General features: G+C 37.1%; 1 protein-coding gene across 6 annotated transcripts in view; it reads left to right on the top strand.

Annotated features, from left to right (window-relative positions):
- Positions 1-14,464, top strand: part of SUCLG2 (succinate-CoA ligase GDP-forming subunit beta) — a 294,153-nt gene that overhangs the window by 151,504 nt on the left and 128,185 nt on the right. For all 6 annotated transcript variants that reach the window (XR_007095763.1, XR_001740350.3, NM_001177599.2 and 3 more), the window contains exons 8-9: positions 4,814-4,975; positions 7,169-7,311. Coding sequence is in view for 4 of the 6 variants with exons in the window: in NM_001177599.2 (NP_001171070.1) it covers positions 4,814-4,975; positions 7,169-7,311 (305 nt within the window). In the remaining 2 variants the exon portion in view is untranslated. The remainder of the gene's footprint in view (positions 1-4,813; positions 4,976-7,168; positions 7,312-14,464) is intronic.

Here is a 14,464-nt window from a genome sequence, read left to right as displayed (position 1 = left end):
TGCTTTTGTCTTGGGAAGGCAGCCATAGGCAATATGAACGAGGCTATGTTCCAATCTGTTATTCATAAAAATAGGGCTGGCTTGAGGGTCTTAGTTGCTACCCTTTGCTTAGATCTTCATTTGGAGCTATTCTGTACCAATCTTTAGCCTTGGCCTTATGCACAGGTGTGATGTGATTTGAGAGTCACCAACAGCCTATTTTACCCTTATCTTTTAGCCAAAAATCTTGTTTTCTACTATTTATGATGCCTAAAATGCCAACTATTAATATTCTTCCTTTGGGAAAATTCTTATTCATTCAGAAGATGGCTTTTTATTGAAAACCATGGGTAACCTGTACATATGTAAACTATGGGAGACATTTGCTTAGATTTGCTCTAAACAGAAATCTCAGATTATAAAGGAACAGATAATTTTTATTGTTAGGAAGAGAGGAGAGTTCTGTAGCCTGGGCTACAATAATGGGAAGCTCTTAAGTATAAAAAAGCATGTGCATATTAGAGGGTGGTGTGGTCGTCTAACAACCTGCTAGTACCCACTGTCTAGGAAGCTAAGCGCTTTGCATACAATCTCTCCTGCCACCAACACCTAGAGTAGAACATACTCTGATCCCCATTGTATAGACAAGGCTCGGGTTTAAGAGAGGTTAATGTGCTTAAGGATAGCTGGCTAGGAAGTGCCAGGAGTTGTCATTTATACCCTGATATTTTTGATGCCAGTCTATATTAAGTGGTCAGGTTCAAGGAAAATCATTTAGATGGCACAACATTGTAGATAGTAAGATAGGAAAGCACTTTGTTTGTTTGGTACTATGTATAATAGGGAAAAACAAACATTTTTCTCCTACCAAACTCTCAACACAGAAGAACACTTCTTGGACCAGATGTGTGAGTTTTTCCAACACTGACTAATCTCTGACACTAGCTAGGTATCCTATGATTCAATTCAATTCTTTTACCATCTACCTGGAATTAGAGTCAGATCCCATAGGTTAAGGGGTCAGTCTTATCAGACTGACTCCACTTTGGATGTCATTTGTAAGACCAAGCCTCTGGTACTTCTGATGAACCAGCTGTAAATTGGGGGTTCTTAGGACTCCCTCCTTGTGCCCCATCATTTACTAGAATGGCTCTCAGAACCCAGGGAAGCACTTTACTTACTACTGCTGATTTATTATAAAGGTTATTTTATTTTTTATCTTATTTTTTTATAAAGGATATTTTAAATGATACAAAGGAATAGCCAGATGAAGAGGTATATGGGGCAGGGTATGCATGAAGGGGTGACAAGCTTCCCTGTACTCCACAGGTGAGCCACCCTGTAGCACCTCCCTGTGTTTGGCAACCTGTAAGCTCTCCAGTCCCCTGGAGTTGAGAAATTTTTATGGAGGCTTTATTACATAGGGATGATCTGTTATTCTTTCTGGAGCATGGAGGTGGGGCTGAAATTTCCAAGCTTCTAATCATAGTTTGGTCTTTCTGGCGACCAGCCCCATACAGAAGCCTCCACCAAGACTTACCTTAATAGAACAAAAGACTCTCCTATCTCCCAGAAAATCCCAAGGGATTAGGAGCTCTGCATCAGGAATCAGGGTCAAAGGCCAAATGTTAGAACACAAGATTCTCCTAGCACCCCTATTGCTTAGGAAATCACAAGGGTTTTAGAGCTCTATGCTAGGAATTAGGGATGAAGACCAAAATAATATATTTATTATAAATCACAGTATCACAGACTACTTTTAAAATATAAAACAGGCGTAACAAATATGTGTCTGAAAGAATCCCTTTACATCCTTAAAGTTTTTCTTCCCTTACCCACTAAGTAAAGACTGGGGTCTTGAAGGTGGCAGTTCAATTTGAATCCCCTTTCTTAAGTCCTAAGTCCTCTAAATAAATTACTTCATATTTAGGTAGTGTTTTTAACTTCCCAAAACACTTAGACATACATGCAATGATCCAATTAGGTTGTTTAGTTTTCTCTACAAATTAACAGTCGGCACAGGACCGTTGTAGATATACACCCCTTTTATCCCATAGTCACCATCTTGAAGCTCTGGGTTAACTGCAAAGTTCTGTCAAGATTGTTCCCTGGAGAGAACGTCATACCACAGAAAAACATCCTCTGAAAATCTAGCTTTGCAGGCATTTAGTTGGGATTGCCTTTTGAACTTTGAATACATACCCATTAATTATTCTCTCTCTGAAGCAGCTTGTAACTGTAGTCTTTGTAAGGAGCAAAGGTCAGCTTGAAACTATTTTGATTTACTTGTTTATTGATCTCAACCAAGAATTCCTTTATTTGAAACTCTTCCCTTAGGAAGTCAATTTGATAACCTTAGCCCATTCATTTTGAAGGTGTCAGTTATAAGTAGTCTTGCCAATGAGTAATGGAGGAGCTAAAATTACTAATAAATTAATTAGAATGCATTTATAAACCTAGTGGAAAGCCATGTACGAAGTTGCTTTTTTATTGATTATTATACCAGTCATTAACTGCTGAGAAAATTCCCCTGTAGCAAGCAGAGAACATTGGCCAATTCGTTTGGTAATTGTAGGATTCTGTCAATAAGCTTTCAATATTTTGGAAAGTAATTACTCATTCACTCCAACCATTCACAATGTGTGGACAAAGTGGTTGGGCATTTTGGGGCAAGACTAAGGATTTAAGCAGACATTAACTTCCATATAAGATTCTCTCTTGTCGCTCAGTGCTACTTTAAGTCATGTGCGGTCTATATATATACTTATAACAAGTATTCTTAGATGTTAATATGCTGGTCTACACAGATTTGTATCAAAGTGCTTGAATATTGTGGTAGGGAAACCCTTGGAGAAAACCCTCTACCTGGGGTCTCTAACGCCAAGATGCCATATACAGCCATGTTTTATTTTCATAAGAAGCAAGTATAATTAGGAGATTATAGCCACTGCTTTTCAGTGAGTGAGAAATGTTCTGTGGCTGTTTCCCTTTCAAGAGTCAGGTGCCTGTCAGCAATGCTGGAGGAGAATAGGTAGTATCTGTAAATTATTGTTCAAAGATTCCTGGCTATCAATATCCCAAGTTAAGTAAAAGAACATTGGCCAGGTGCAGTGGCTCACACCTGTAATCCCAGCACTTTGGGAGGCTGAGGTGGGCAGATCACAAGGTCAGGAGATCGAGACCATCCTGGCTAACACGGTGAAACCCCATCTGTACTAAAAATACAAAAAATTACCTGGGCATGGTGGCACATGCCTGTAGTCCCAGCTGCTTGGGAGACTGAGGCAGGAGAATCGCTTGAACCTGGGAGGTGGAGGTTATAGTGAGCCGAGATTGCGCCACTGCACTCCAGCCTGGGCAGCAGAGTGAGACTCTGTCTCCGAAATAAATAAATAAATAAATAAATAAACAAACAAACAAACATTATGATGACATGGCATCACAGAACACTAATTTCTACACTAAGAGAGATAATAAAAGGGGTCAGATACCCAGATACCAATAATGCCACCCTCTCCACTGCAGTCTCTCCCTGATTGTATGTATAGGAGATCTGTAAATCAAGGAAAGTGCCCTGTAGTCTGTCTCCTATTATGGAATGAGTTTTGCTGGGTCCAGGAGATTTCCACCAGCTCCAGAAACTAGAGACAATTGTGCTAATAATGCCTGGCATCCTGGCTTTGTGACTGACCAGTCTTGGTCTTTTCGTGTCTTATAACTTGAATCTGAAGCACCATAAGATGGTCCTGCACGAATCAAGGGCATGGCCCTTGTTTTAAGGATTGTTATTGCCATTTTTTCCAATTAAAAAACCAAGGCCCAGAGAAGAACTAGGTTATTTTATCAAGGTTACAGAGTTAGTAATGTATGCTGGAAATTGCTAAAAGTATATATTTTAAGTGCTCTCCCACACCAAAAAGAAAAACCAAAAACTATATGAGAAGATGGATGTGTTAATTTGCTTCAGTGTAGTAATCATTTCACTGTGTTTAATTATTTCACTGTGTTATATGTATATCAAAACATGATGTTGTATGCTTTAAATACACAGTTGTCCCTCAATATATGCAGGGAATCGGTTCCAGGAATCTCAGATATACCAAACTTCGTTCATATTGCACAATTCCTGCAGTTGGCCTTGCAGAACCCATGTATGTGAAAAGTCGACCCTCTGGGGCTTTACATCTTGAGAATAAAAATCCAGCTATAAGTGGACCCTCACAGTTCAAACCCATGTTGTTCAAGACTCAAGTGTATACAATTTTTATTTTTAATAAATGTTACAGAGTTAGTTAAGGATCAAATAAAAATCGAGCGATTCTAGTCTGGCATTCTTTCCACTAAATCTTTTGGAAATACTAGACAGGATACTGATTCAATAAAAATTTCACTTTACCATATCAAGAAAAGGACAATAGGGGACAAAATAATTAATAATATTGTCTAGTCTCTCTTTACATAGAAGAGAAAGGTGATAATTAGTGGTTAAATACTAAAAATATATAATAAAAATAATGAATCAAAGCTGTATCTATGAAGCTGTGCCAGTCTGTAACTTTTAATGGTTGATGGCAACTTTTGGGGTTATTCTATTGAAATGAGAACAACAGGTAGAAATTACTATGTTCTTTACTAGAACGTAAGTCCCTTGACAACAGGGACCAAACCCTAAAATTTAAAGGTCAAGAAAGCCAAAGCAGCCTCTCCTGCCTGTAACATGTGAAAAAAAATGACAGTACTTAACTTTCCCTTCGCTTGTGCCTACCAGCCTGAAGAACTTAATTTATAGATCCTCAAGAGATATTCAAGTATGATTGTTTTCTTCTTTATTTAGTTGTCTGTTTTGATGCCAAGATAAACTTTGATGACAACGCAGAATTCCGACAAAAAGACATATTTGCTATGGACGACAAATCAGAGAATGAGCCCATTGAAAATGAAGCTGCCAAATATGATCTAAAATACATAGGACTAGATGGGAACATTGCCTGCTTTGGTAAGAAGCAGTTATATCAAAAGAATGCTTTGTGGATTCTTATAGAATTTAGGAAACCTTGATTTCTGAAATGTCACTTACCAAGAAGAAGTAAGCACATAAGTTTTTTTGTAGCTGAAAAGTCTTAGGAAAGTATCCAAGTTTCTTCTCAAAGTTGTTTTGATTAATGGTCACTGGTGTAAAGCAGAATTTCTCAACTCTGGCACTATTGGGAGTTTGGGTGGGATAATTCTTTACTGTCCTGTACATCATAAGATGTTTAGCATCCTAACCTCTAGATACTACTAACAACCCCCACTTGTGAAGACAAATAAACCCATGTAAATCAATAAATTAAAATAAATGTCTTCAGACAGTTCCAAATGGCTGTGGTATGCAAAAATCACCCCAACTGAGAAATATTGACTTAAAACATCTCAGTTAAACTTTGCTTAGTAAAAAATTAGAACCTTTGCTGCTCAACTCAGTATTAATATGCAGAACTCTTCTGAAATTTAGGTTTAAAACAAAATTCCTTTATCAGAGGAAATAGAAGAGGACATACACTTTAATCACGTTGCTAAAGTTTCAGGTTCTGTGATAACCAAAGGATGAAATGTTTAATCCATTATGCTAGTTTATTAATAAAACAATTGATTTTATCACACTCATCTAAATTTGTGAAAATGGCTTCTTCAGCTGAGATAAGAATGTCTGTAGAAGCAATACAGTTTCTATTATTGTTCACAGCTTATAGTGCTCAGATTTATATGCTTCTGACTTAATTGCACAAGACTGTGTTTCTGGTAGAATCAATTCATTGTACTGGAAACTGAGGTCTTAATCTTAATGGAATTAAAATAAAAATGATTTGTAGCTCATTAAACCAGCAATATCATTGTATTCAGAACTGAAGAGACCTCATCCAAGAGGTGGCTGTTCAATACAATAGAAAATGACATCCAATTACAAGTGATACCAAAAGCTCTTGCTTTGTATTGGAGCAATAACTATAATGTACCAGATCACTCACATCATTCTGATCCTGATAAGCTAATGCACTCTCAATATTTGTAGGCATTTAGAAAGGGGAAAGGTATATGGGTTTAAACCAAATTAAATACAGATTATTTATAGCCTCTGTAGGAATGTGCATGGTTTGACCACATAGCAGCCTCAAAATCTATGATTTACACATTTCAAATTGTTTTAAGATTCTGTGTAAACCATTTTTATTTTAGTTACTCCAAATTTAATTAGTCACAGTCATAGGCTTTTCTAGGGAATTGGAGGGTCAGAAAAATGAAAGGTACTTTACCTTGTGAGTTTCTGCTGTGTTCTGGAGTTTTTTTTTTCTCTCTCAAGGAAAGTAATTTTATATAATTAAGCTTAAGAAGCAAAATAAGTGCAATTGATCAATAAAACTTAGCTCTGGAAAACAAGACTTTTGATATTAAAACTCTCTACCTACTTTCTTAAGAAAGGCTCCTAAGATGTTGGCACATTTTGGTTCCAGTTTTAACGGTTGGGTTGCTGGTGAGCATTGCTTATATTAATTTGAAAGAGGAACAAGGGGATAAGAATATTGTTTTTGTGCAGTCATTTGTTCATTTGTTTCTAAGTTTATCCAGGTAACATTATGTAAACATGTATGACTGTACTAAGTGTAAAAAAGTATAAAATCCCACTGAAGTTGGGAAGCCTGTGGTTCAATCCCACAGATGCCACATTCAAAGGACCATATTCTCAGCAAACAAAACATTGAGAATTCCATTCTTTACTCCTGTCTCTTAAAGTATATTAAAAAGAATGTAATTCATAGGTCCTAGCAACTTCCAATAGCTTGTTTCTCTGCCTCCTGATTCTCTTAAGCTTACACTTTGCAGAACCTAAAACTTCCTTTTTTACTACTGGCCCAAATCGGTTACTTACTTAAACCTTTCCTTCTTTCTGTTTTTCAGATTGATTTAACTTCCCAATACATCCTGTTCCTCATTCCTAAGTCTTTTTTGTTTCATTGTTTGCATATACATGTCCTGATTCTTTATCCTAAAAGTCTATGAACTAATCTGGTTTAATGGAATTCCAAACAGGATATAAATTGGCCTGGCAATGACAGAGTTCTCTCTTGGCAATATGGGGGAGGGAAAATGTTTATGGACCATTTCATGTTGCTAAATGTAGCCTGTCTTGTGTCCCATTTGCATTTCACAGTGAATGGTGCTGGGCTCGCCATGGCTACTTGTGATATCATTTTCCTTAATGGTGGGAAGCCAGCCAACTTCTTGGATCTTGGAGGTGGTGTAAAGGAAGCTCAAGTATATCAAGCATTCAAATTGCTCACAGCTGATCCTAAGGTAACCTTTCTCTTTGTAGGGAGATTATATGCCAGTTTTAATTTCTCACCGTCAAGAGCTCACTTGTTCTTCCTGGTGAGAGTTGATAAGTCAATATGTGTACTCTGCAGCCCCAGATGCAACTTCTATCTTTTTTTTTTTTTTTTGAGACGGAGTCTTACTCCGTTGCCCAGGCTGGAGTACAGTGGCGCGATCTTGGCTCACTGCAACCTCCGTCTCCTGGGTTCAAGCGATTCTTCTTCCTCAGCCTCTTGAGTAGCTGGGATTACAGTCACACGCCACAACGCCCAGCTAACTTTTGTATTTTTAATAGAGACAGGGTTTCTCATGTTGGCCAGGCTGGTCTCAAACTCCCTACCTCGTGGTCTGCCCGCCTAGGCCTCCAAAAGTGCTGAAATTACAGGCATGAGCCACCGCGCCCAGCCCACAACTTCTGTCTTATATCACATTGGAATACGTGATGATTTAACTCGTTTTGGGTAAAAGGCTTGGGATCTTATTTCAGAGGTTGTGTGTACAGTCCTGAGAGGTGGAAGGAAATAAAAAAGATACAGTGTGCCAGTCGAAACATTGGTTGGCATGAACTTTATTTGGGTAATTTACACAGAAGTGACTGGTCCTATGCTTACATGATTTAGAGGGAAGAGTACTATGATTCCTTCCATAAAGATGCTGAAGGTATTACCATATATTGGAAAATTTTAGGGTTATGGGATCAAAAATCACTGGGAAATAATGGCCCCACCTTCTTTTGTATGCTTTCTAATTTTTATCTCTGACCATTAGTTTGTAACATATGTACTAAGTAGCAAATAACTGTACCTGGTTTCATAGTTACTATTGCTGCTTCATGTGCATCTTTTTAACTTGAGGGTAGCTAACTAGAATGTAGCTACCACACCCATGCTAGGGGCAGTGTGGGCATTCAATTAATATTTAATCAGCTAGTTTAGTAAGGAAGTTAAATATCAGTATGCTTTGTTTCACCTGTAGATACTCAGTTGACTATAACATGGTTTAGGTAGATGCTTGTTATGTAGAAAGACCAAAATATTTTGAAAGTCTAATGTACACGGTTTTCATTCATTCTTTTAACAGGCCTGTGAAGTACGTATATGCCACAACAATTTGATATAAAACTTTTTCTTTAATTTTTTGATTATTTTTTTTTAGAGACAGGGTCTCGTTCTGTCACCCAGACCGGAGTGCTGTGGTGTTATCATAGTTCACTGTAGCCTCAATCTCCTGGGCCCAAGGTATCCTCCTCGCACAGCCTCTTGAGTAGCTAGGACTACAGGTGCATGCCACCATGCCTGGCCAATTTTTTTTTATTTTTTGTCTTGCTGTGTTGCTCAGGCTGGTCTCAAACTCGTGACCTCAAGTGATCCTCCTACCTCAGGCCCTCAGATCTTGGAGATTACAGGCGTGAGCCATCACAATTGGCCTAAACTTTTATTTGAGAATCATTGTCTCAATATTGTTAGAGTATCTAATATATTGAGTTGGTTACTAAAATATCTGAAGATGTGGGAAATCTGAATTGTTACTAAGAGAATGATAAATGAAAATAATACCAGATTTTTTAAAAAAGAAATGTGGTCTGAACTAAATATGGAAGCTTCCCATTAATAAATATACTGGCAATAGCCTGTTTTGTTTTGCATGCATAAAATTTTGTCTTATATTGGTAGTACACTTGTCTGTTTTCCTCATGACTTACATAGTTGGTGGCCTTATGTTTTTGCTTGTCTTTTCTTCTGACTCACAAAACAGACGGCAAGGTATTATTAGCACTTATCTTCAGTTCTCCAGTGCCGTTCAGGAATAGCCAAGTTATTGAAGTTCAAAGGCAGCCAGCCATAAGGAAGGTATTCGCAAAAAGAACAATGTTTCCACTTACATAAGCACTTTGTTTTCATTGGTTAGGTAGAAACACCTATCAGTGGCTCTCTAATCATGTATTAATTCACTTATTCTTTCTTCCTACTGCTTTCTAAGGGAAGAATCATTTTCCTCCCAGAGATTCCCAAACCAATTGAAATCTGTAAATACCGAGACACACAGCTCCTTAAGCTGCTTGAACCACACAGTACCCAGAGGACAGACGATTGTAATAAAATACTGAACTTTTAGCGTCTACTGAAACTCTGTGCAAAGGATAATAGAGAGCCACTGAGAGATGAAATCTACCAGGACAATCATTGGATTTCGTTGAAATAGCTTTTCTTAGTGGCTCACCTCAAATTTTAATTTTGTAAAACCTGTAGGATGGGGAGGGATAGTGGAAAAATTACTGTCAGAGCCATTTTTCTTTTAAAAAAACCACTCTCTTCCAAAATTTTGACTTTATGGAACATTTTCAAATGCTTGGATTATTTCAACTTTTTTTGAGATTAACTGTCATCTTGGGTAGATAAAGGTATGTGGGAGTTATTTTATTTTTCTCATGCTATATCAGGAAAATGAATGCACAGCTCATCTCACAGTACTTTTTCCAAATCTTGAAATTTCAAAACCAGTTAAAAAACATAGAAATGTAATGAGTATTTTCAATCCTGGCTTCGTTTCACAAAATTTAGAGAACAGAACCTAAAAAATAGTATAGATGAGTTGATGTGATTTTGCAAGCAAACTGGCTGTAGTTTTGGCAGTAATTATTTCGTGTCCACCTGCCCAAAAGTAGAGGTTCCTGAGAGCCCAAAGCTAATTATTTCAAAGGTGTCAATTGTCTTGTTAGATGTAAGGATTAGTTAGTTGAATACACAGAAAGTCAAAATTACAGAACACCAGTTTTTGTTAAACTTTTATCAACTGATATTTACAACTGCTTATTTGCAGTGTGTCTAAGATAATTCTGTTTAGTAAACACGTCATTCAATAAAATTATTACAGGTTGACATATATTTCCACTCATGATGTCAGTCATAGAGCTGAAAATTTTAGTTATTTTGCTTGACTGTTAACCCAAATGCTGATTTTCACTTGGACCTAACACAAGTATCTCTACAACTAATACGTTTCTTATTATTTTATCATATATATGAAATGAAGTTCCTCTACCAAGCTGAATAAAACAAGAGTCTTTTTCAAGATAAACTCACTTACTGAACTGAATTCATATAAAGTATATCATTAAATATTTTATAATTCTCTTATTTTCCAGCTGAGCTTGAGATGAGAGAAAAGTAATAGAGTTTGTTCTGCTGGTGGTCTTCATCATTTTGATTTAAAGAATTCTAAGCATTAGTATTCTTTAAATCATAAAGAGCAAAAATGTATAAAATAGGAAATAGAAGTAGGGTTTTGTGGTTTTCTGTTAAGAATTTAAAGACATTTAAAAGAAAAGCACTATATAGAATGTTAACCTTGGGTTTTTGTTTTCCAAATTATACTCTGGTTTGTATTTTAATTCTGAACTTAGAATTCCAAAGGTGTAGCAAATGTAACATCTGGAATATGTTGTGTTCACTTACACAAAACACCTAGTGTTCACTTACACGAAACATCTTGTGAAGTGAATACAAGGAAAGGACACTTGGCACGAATCTCTCCATGACCCCAACTCTGTTGGCCAAAGATAAGCAAATCTTTTGCTCTCTGGAGGCCTAGTTTTGAAAAGCAAAAGTACACGATTGGCATTAGTAAAGGCACCTCATTGGATTTGATTGTACTTCCTGGTTTAGATCCAACTTTGAATCATATTTTCTAAGCCCTTGAAATATCTAGGAAGAAATGTGCTACCTAAGCACCAAAGACAAGTTGAAGAATGGAAGGGACTCTTAGTGGGATTCTTATGCCAGACTGCCTGGGTTCCAGTCTTGTCTTTACCAGTTACTGGTTGTGGGACCTTGGGCATGCTATTTAACTTCTGTGTGCCTTGGTATCCTCGTTTATAAAGTGGTAATAATAGCAGTACTTACCTCAGAGGGTTGTTTTATTACACATATTGAGACACACACGCACACTTTTCATTTAGAGGGAAAATAATTTCATATGACAGTATCATTTAAAAAATTTAATAAACTTATTAAAGTATAATCTCCATACAGAACAGTATACAAATTTTAAGTATACAGCTTGATGAATTATTACAAAGTGAACATATCATCTAACCTCCAGCCAGATCAAGAAATAGAACATGGCTGGATGCGGTGGCTCATGCCTGTAATCTCAGCACTTTGGGAGGCCGAAGTGGGCAGAAGGTCGGGATTTCAAGAGCAGCCTGGCCAAAATGGTAAAACCCCGTCTCTACTTAAAATGCAAAAATTAGCCAGGCGTGGTTGCAGGCACCTATAATTCCAGCTACTTGGGAGGCTGAGGCAGGAGAATTGCTTGAACGCAGGAGGCGGAGGTTGCAGTGAGCCGAGATTGTGCCATTGCACTCCAGCCTGGGAGACAAGAGCGAGACTTCGTCTGGAAAAAAAAAAAAAAAAAAAGTAAAAGAAAAAGAAATAAAACATAACAGGGATCCTGGAAGCCTCCTCCTCATGCAGTCCCCATCATTTTCCTACCCTGCTTTCTCTCCACAGGTAATTTCTTTTCTTTTCTCTCTTTTTTTTTTTTTTTTCTTCTGACTTAGCCTCCTGAGTAGCTGGGACTAAAGGCGTCTGCCACCATGCCCGGCTAATTTTTGTATTTTTAGTAGAGATGGGTTTACCTTGTTGCGCAGGCTGGTCTCAAACTCCTGATCTCAAGGGGTCCTCCCGCCTGGGCCTCCCAAAGTGCTTGGGTTACAGGCAGTAGCCACTGTGTTCGGCCCTCAAAGGTAATTTCTAATATCACAGATTTGTTTTACCTATTTTTAAACTTAATATCACTGGAATCATGTACTGTATACTCTTTTGCATTTGTTATCTTTTACTTTACTTTTGCTACTGGTTAGTCTTTTCAATTTTAGTCATTCAGGTAAGTATGAGGCATTATCTCATTATGGCCTTTCTGTCATGACTAATGAGGTTGAGCACCTTTTCATGTATTTATTAGCCATTTGAATATACTCTGTAAACTTGTATTACCTCATCTATAGACATGAAAATAATACCTTAAAGCATTGTTTTAAGTACCAACTTGCAAACCTTTCTAAAGCATAGTGAAAACTTTGGCTTTTTATATTTTCTGAGTGTTTCATTCCATTATCACTTCCAAAACTTAGATTTAGAATAAATGCACATCTCAGAAATGGGAGGTGTCTGATACAGGTTCAGTGATAATCAGTGTTACTTCATGTGTTGTTTTGAAATTGATGGAAGGTGTAAGTGACTCAGCTTACAATGATTCTCTACTCAGACAACCAAGGAAACAGTTAATAAAGGGAGGATTAAATTCATGTTTGAAAGAAGAACAAAATATAATTTGTTATAAATTTGAGAAGAGGCCAGCTCTTTTTGTGCTCTATGGTATATGTTTCAGAAACTTTAGAATGTGAAGCCAGAGAAGTAAAACTGCATGCCATATTTTCAGAATCAGGTATATGCAAATGCCTTACGTTTTAATATATTTTAGGATTCACTTGTGCTGTCTCATATTTTTAAATTATTGCACATTTAGAGTTTATTTAAGTACAAAGAAGAATATCCTGTTTTCTTTCAGATACATGCGTATAACTGAGGCACAGAGCTGTTTAAACTTAAACTGAGGTGCCGTAAAATTGTCAGGAGTTGATTTGAATAACCAGTGATTCACGGATTGAGCAGCTCCAAACCAAAAGTGCTTCCAGGGCTCCATCAAAAGAATGTGAAGGGAAGACTTTTATAGGGCAAACACGAAAGTAAAGCAAAGAAAATACTGGATTGGTTACAGTTATACTGTTGCCTTATTTGGTCTATCCTCCTGGAAAGTTCTAGTTATGTAACCATAAGTTAGATAACTAGAACTTTCTGCTTCCAATTGGTTAGCCTTAAGTTTCATTTTTCTGTAACATAGGCATTTACAAGAAATAGCTCAAGTTTTGTTTATGTCTGCAAATCAAGCAGAGTTAAGATCACTTATGAGGCCTAACTGGCTTTGTCTGCTCAGAGATTCTTCAGGTCTGGTGTCCATTTTAATTTATTGTAACAAAGCAAAACCCATTTCATTACACACCACATGTGTTTGCTGAAATACCTTATCTGCAAGCGACTGTTTTCTTTGTAGGGAAGTAGAACTCTTGTAGGAATTTATTTTCGAATATAGTGCTCAATACTTTATACAACACAAGCATTATTTTTGAAATGACTACCCTGCATTTCTATTCTTGCAGGTTTGCTTGAAAATATGTATTTTTTTCATATAGAGTGGAAAAGATTAAAATTCCAGGCAGCCATTCTTTCTAGTGGTAGTCGACCTGATAGTCTAGTCTGTGGAGAATGATTAATTTTGTGTTGATCAGCTGGTCATTTAGTCTCCACTTCCACTTAGAATAGCTCTTTATTTAGGGAAGTCACTCTGCATAAGCTAGAGGATGGAAAACCATCTACCACTCTGGGCCCTTTTCTTTTTTCCCCCGGCAGTAGTTTTCCCAGTGTGAGGAATTCATAAATGTTGATTTTTGCATATCTTTTCCTGATGTCTAGTTAATTAAAATTTCCAAGAATATCTGGCCCTCCTTGCCCACCTCACATTTGTTCCATTTTACCTGCCAATACTTCTCAGTAATAAGTGGGTCCTGGTGACTGCATTTGGTTTTGTGTCTTCCACATGATCGGTGTATCTGCTAGCTACCACATTTTCAAACCATCCCTAATAGAACACTCAAAATCTATTTACATGCTCCTCACTGACATACCCTCAGAAACAAGCCAAAAATAAGATTTTTACTCTTTACTCTGTCTTCAAAATCCAGGTTTTAATGCAACCTACTTTGTTTTATGGTAAGTGACTTGAATAATTTAACAGATTTGGGGCTTAGTAAATTTTGTCGTTAGTCCCAGCAAGCTCCGGAATTGATTACGAGTCCTCTGTGTAGATGCCTTTGTAGAGTGTTAAAGAGAAATGGACCATGAATCAAAGTATAATGCCATATAGTTTGGAAAAATATATAATTATTAGAAGAGTTAGGGTTGTTGTTTTCCTTAATGTTATTGCATAGAGAAAATGAAGCATTGAATGCAACAATTAGAAAACAGTGCATTTCTCAGCAAGACAATCAATAATGGTCGGGAATAATGTCAAGAAT

The sequence above is a fragment of the Homo sapiens genome, chromosome 3 (genome assembly GCF_000001405.40).
Source record: "Homo sapiens chromosome 3, GRCh38.p14 Primary Assembly".
In the NCBI taxonomy this organism is placed as follows: Eukaryota; Metazoa; Chordata; class Mammalia; order Primates; family Hominidae; genus Homo; species Homo sapiens.
Note: the sequence above shows the minus strand (reverse complement) of the source record. Positions and strands in the feature narration are given on the sequence as shown.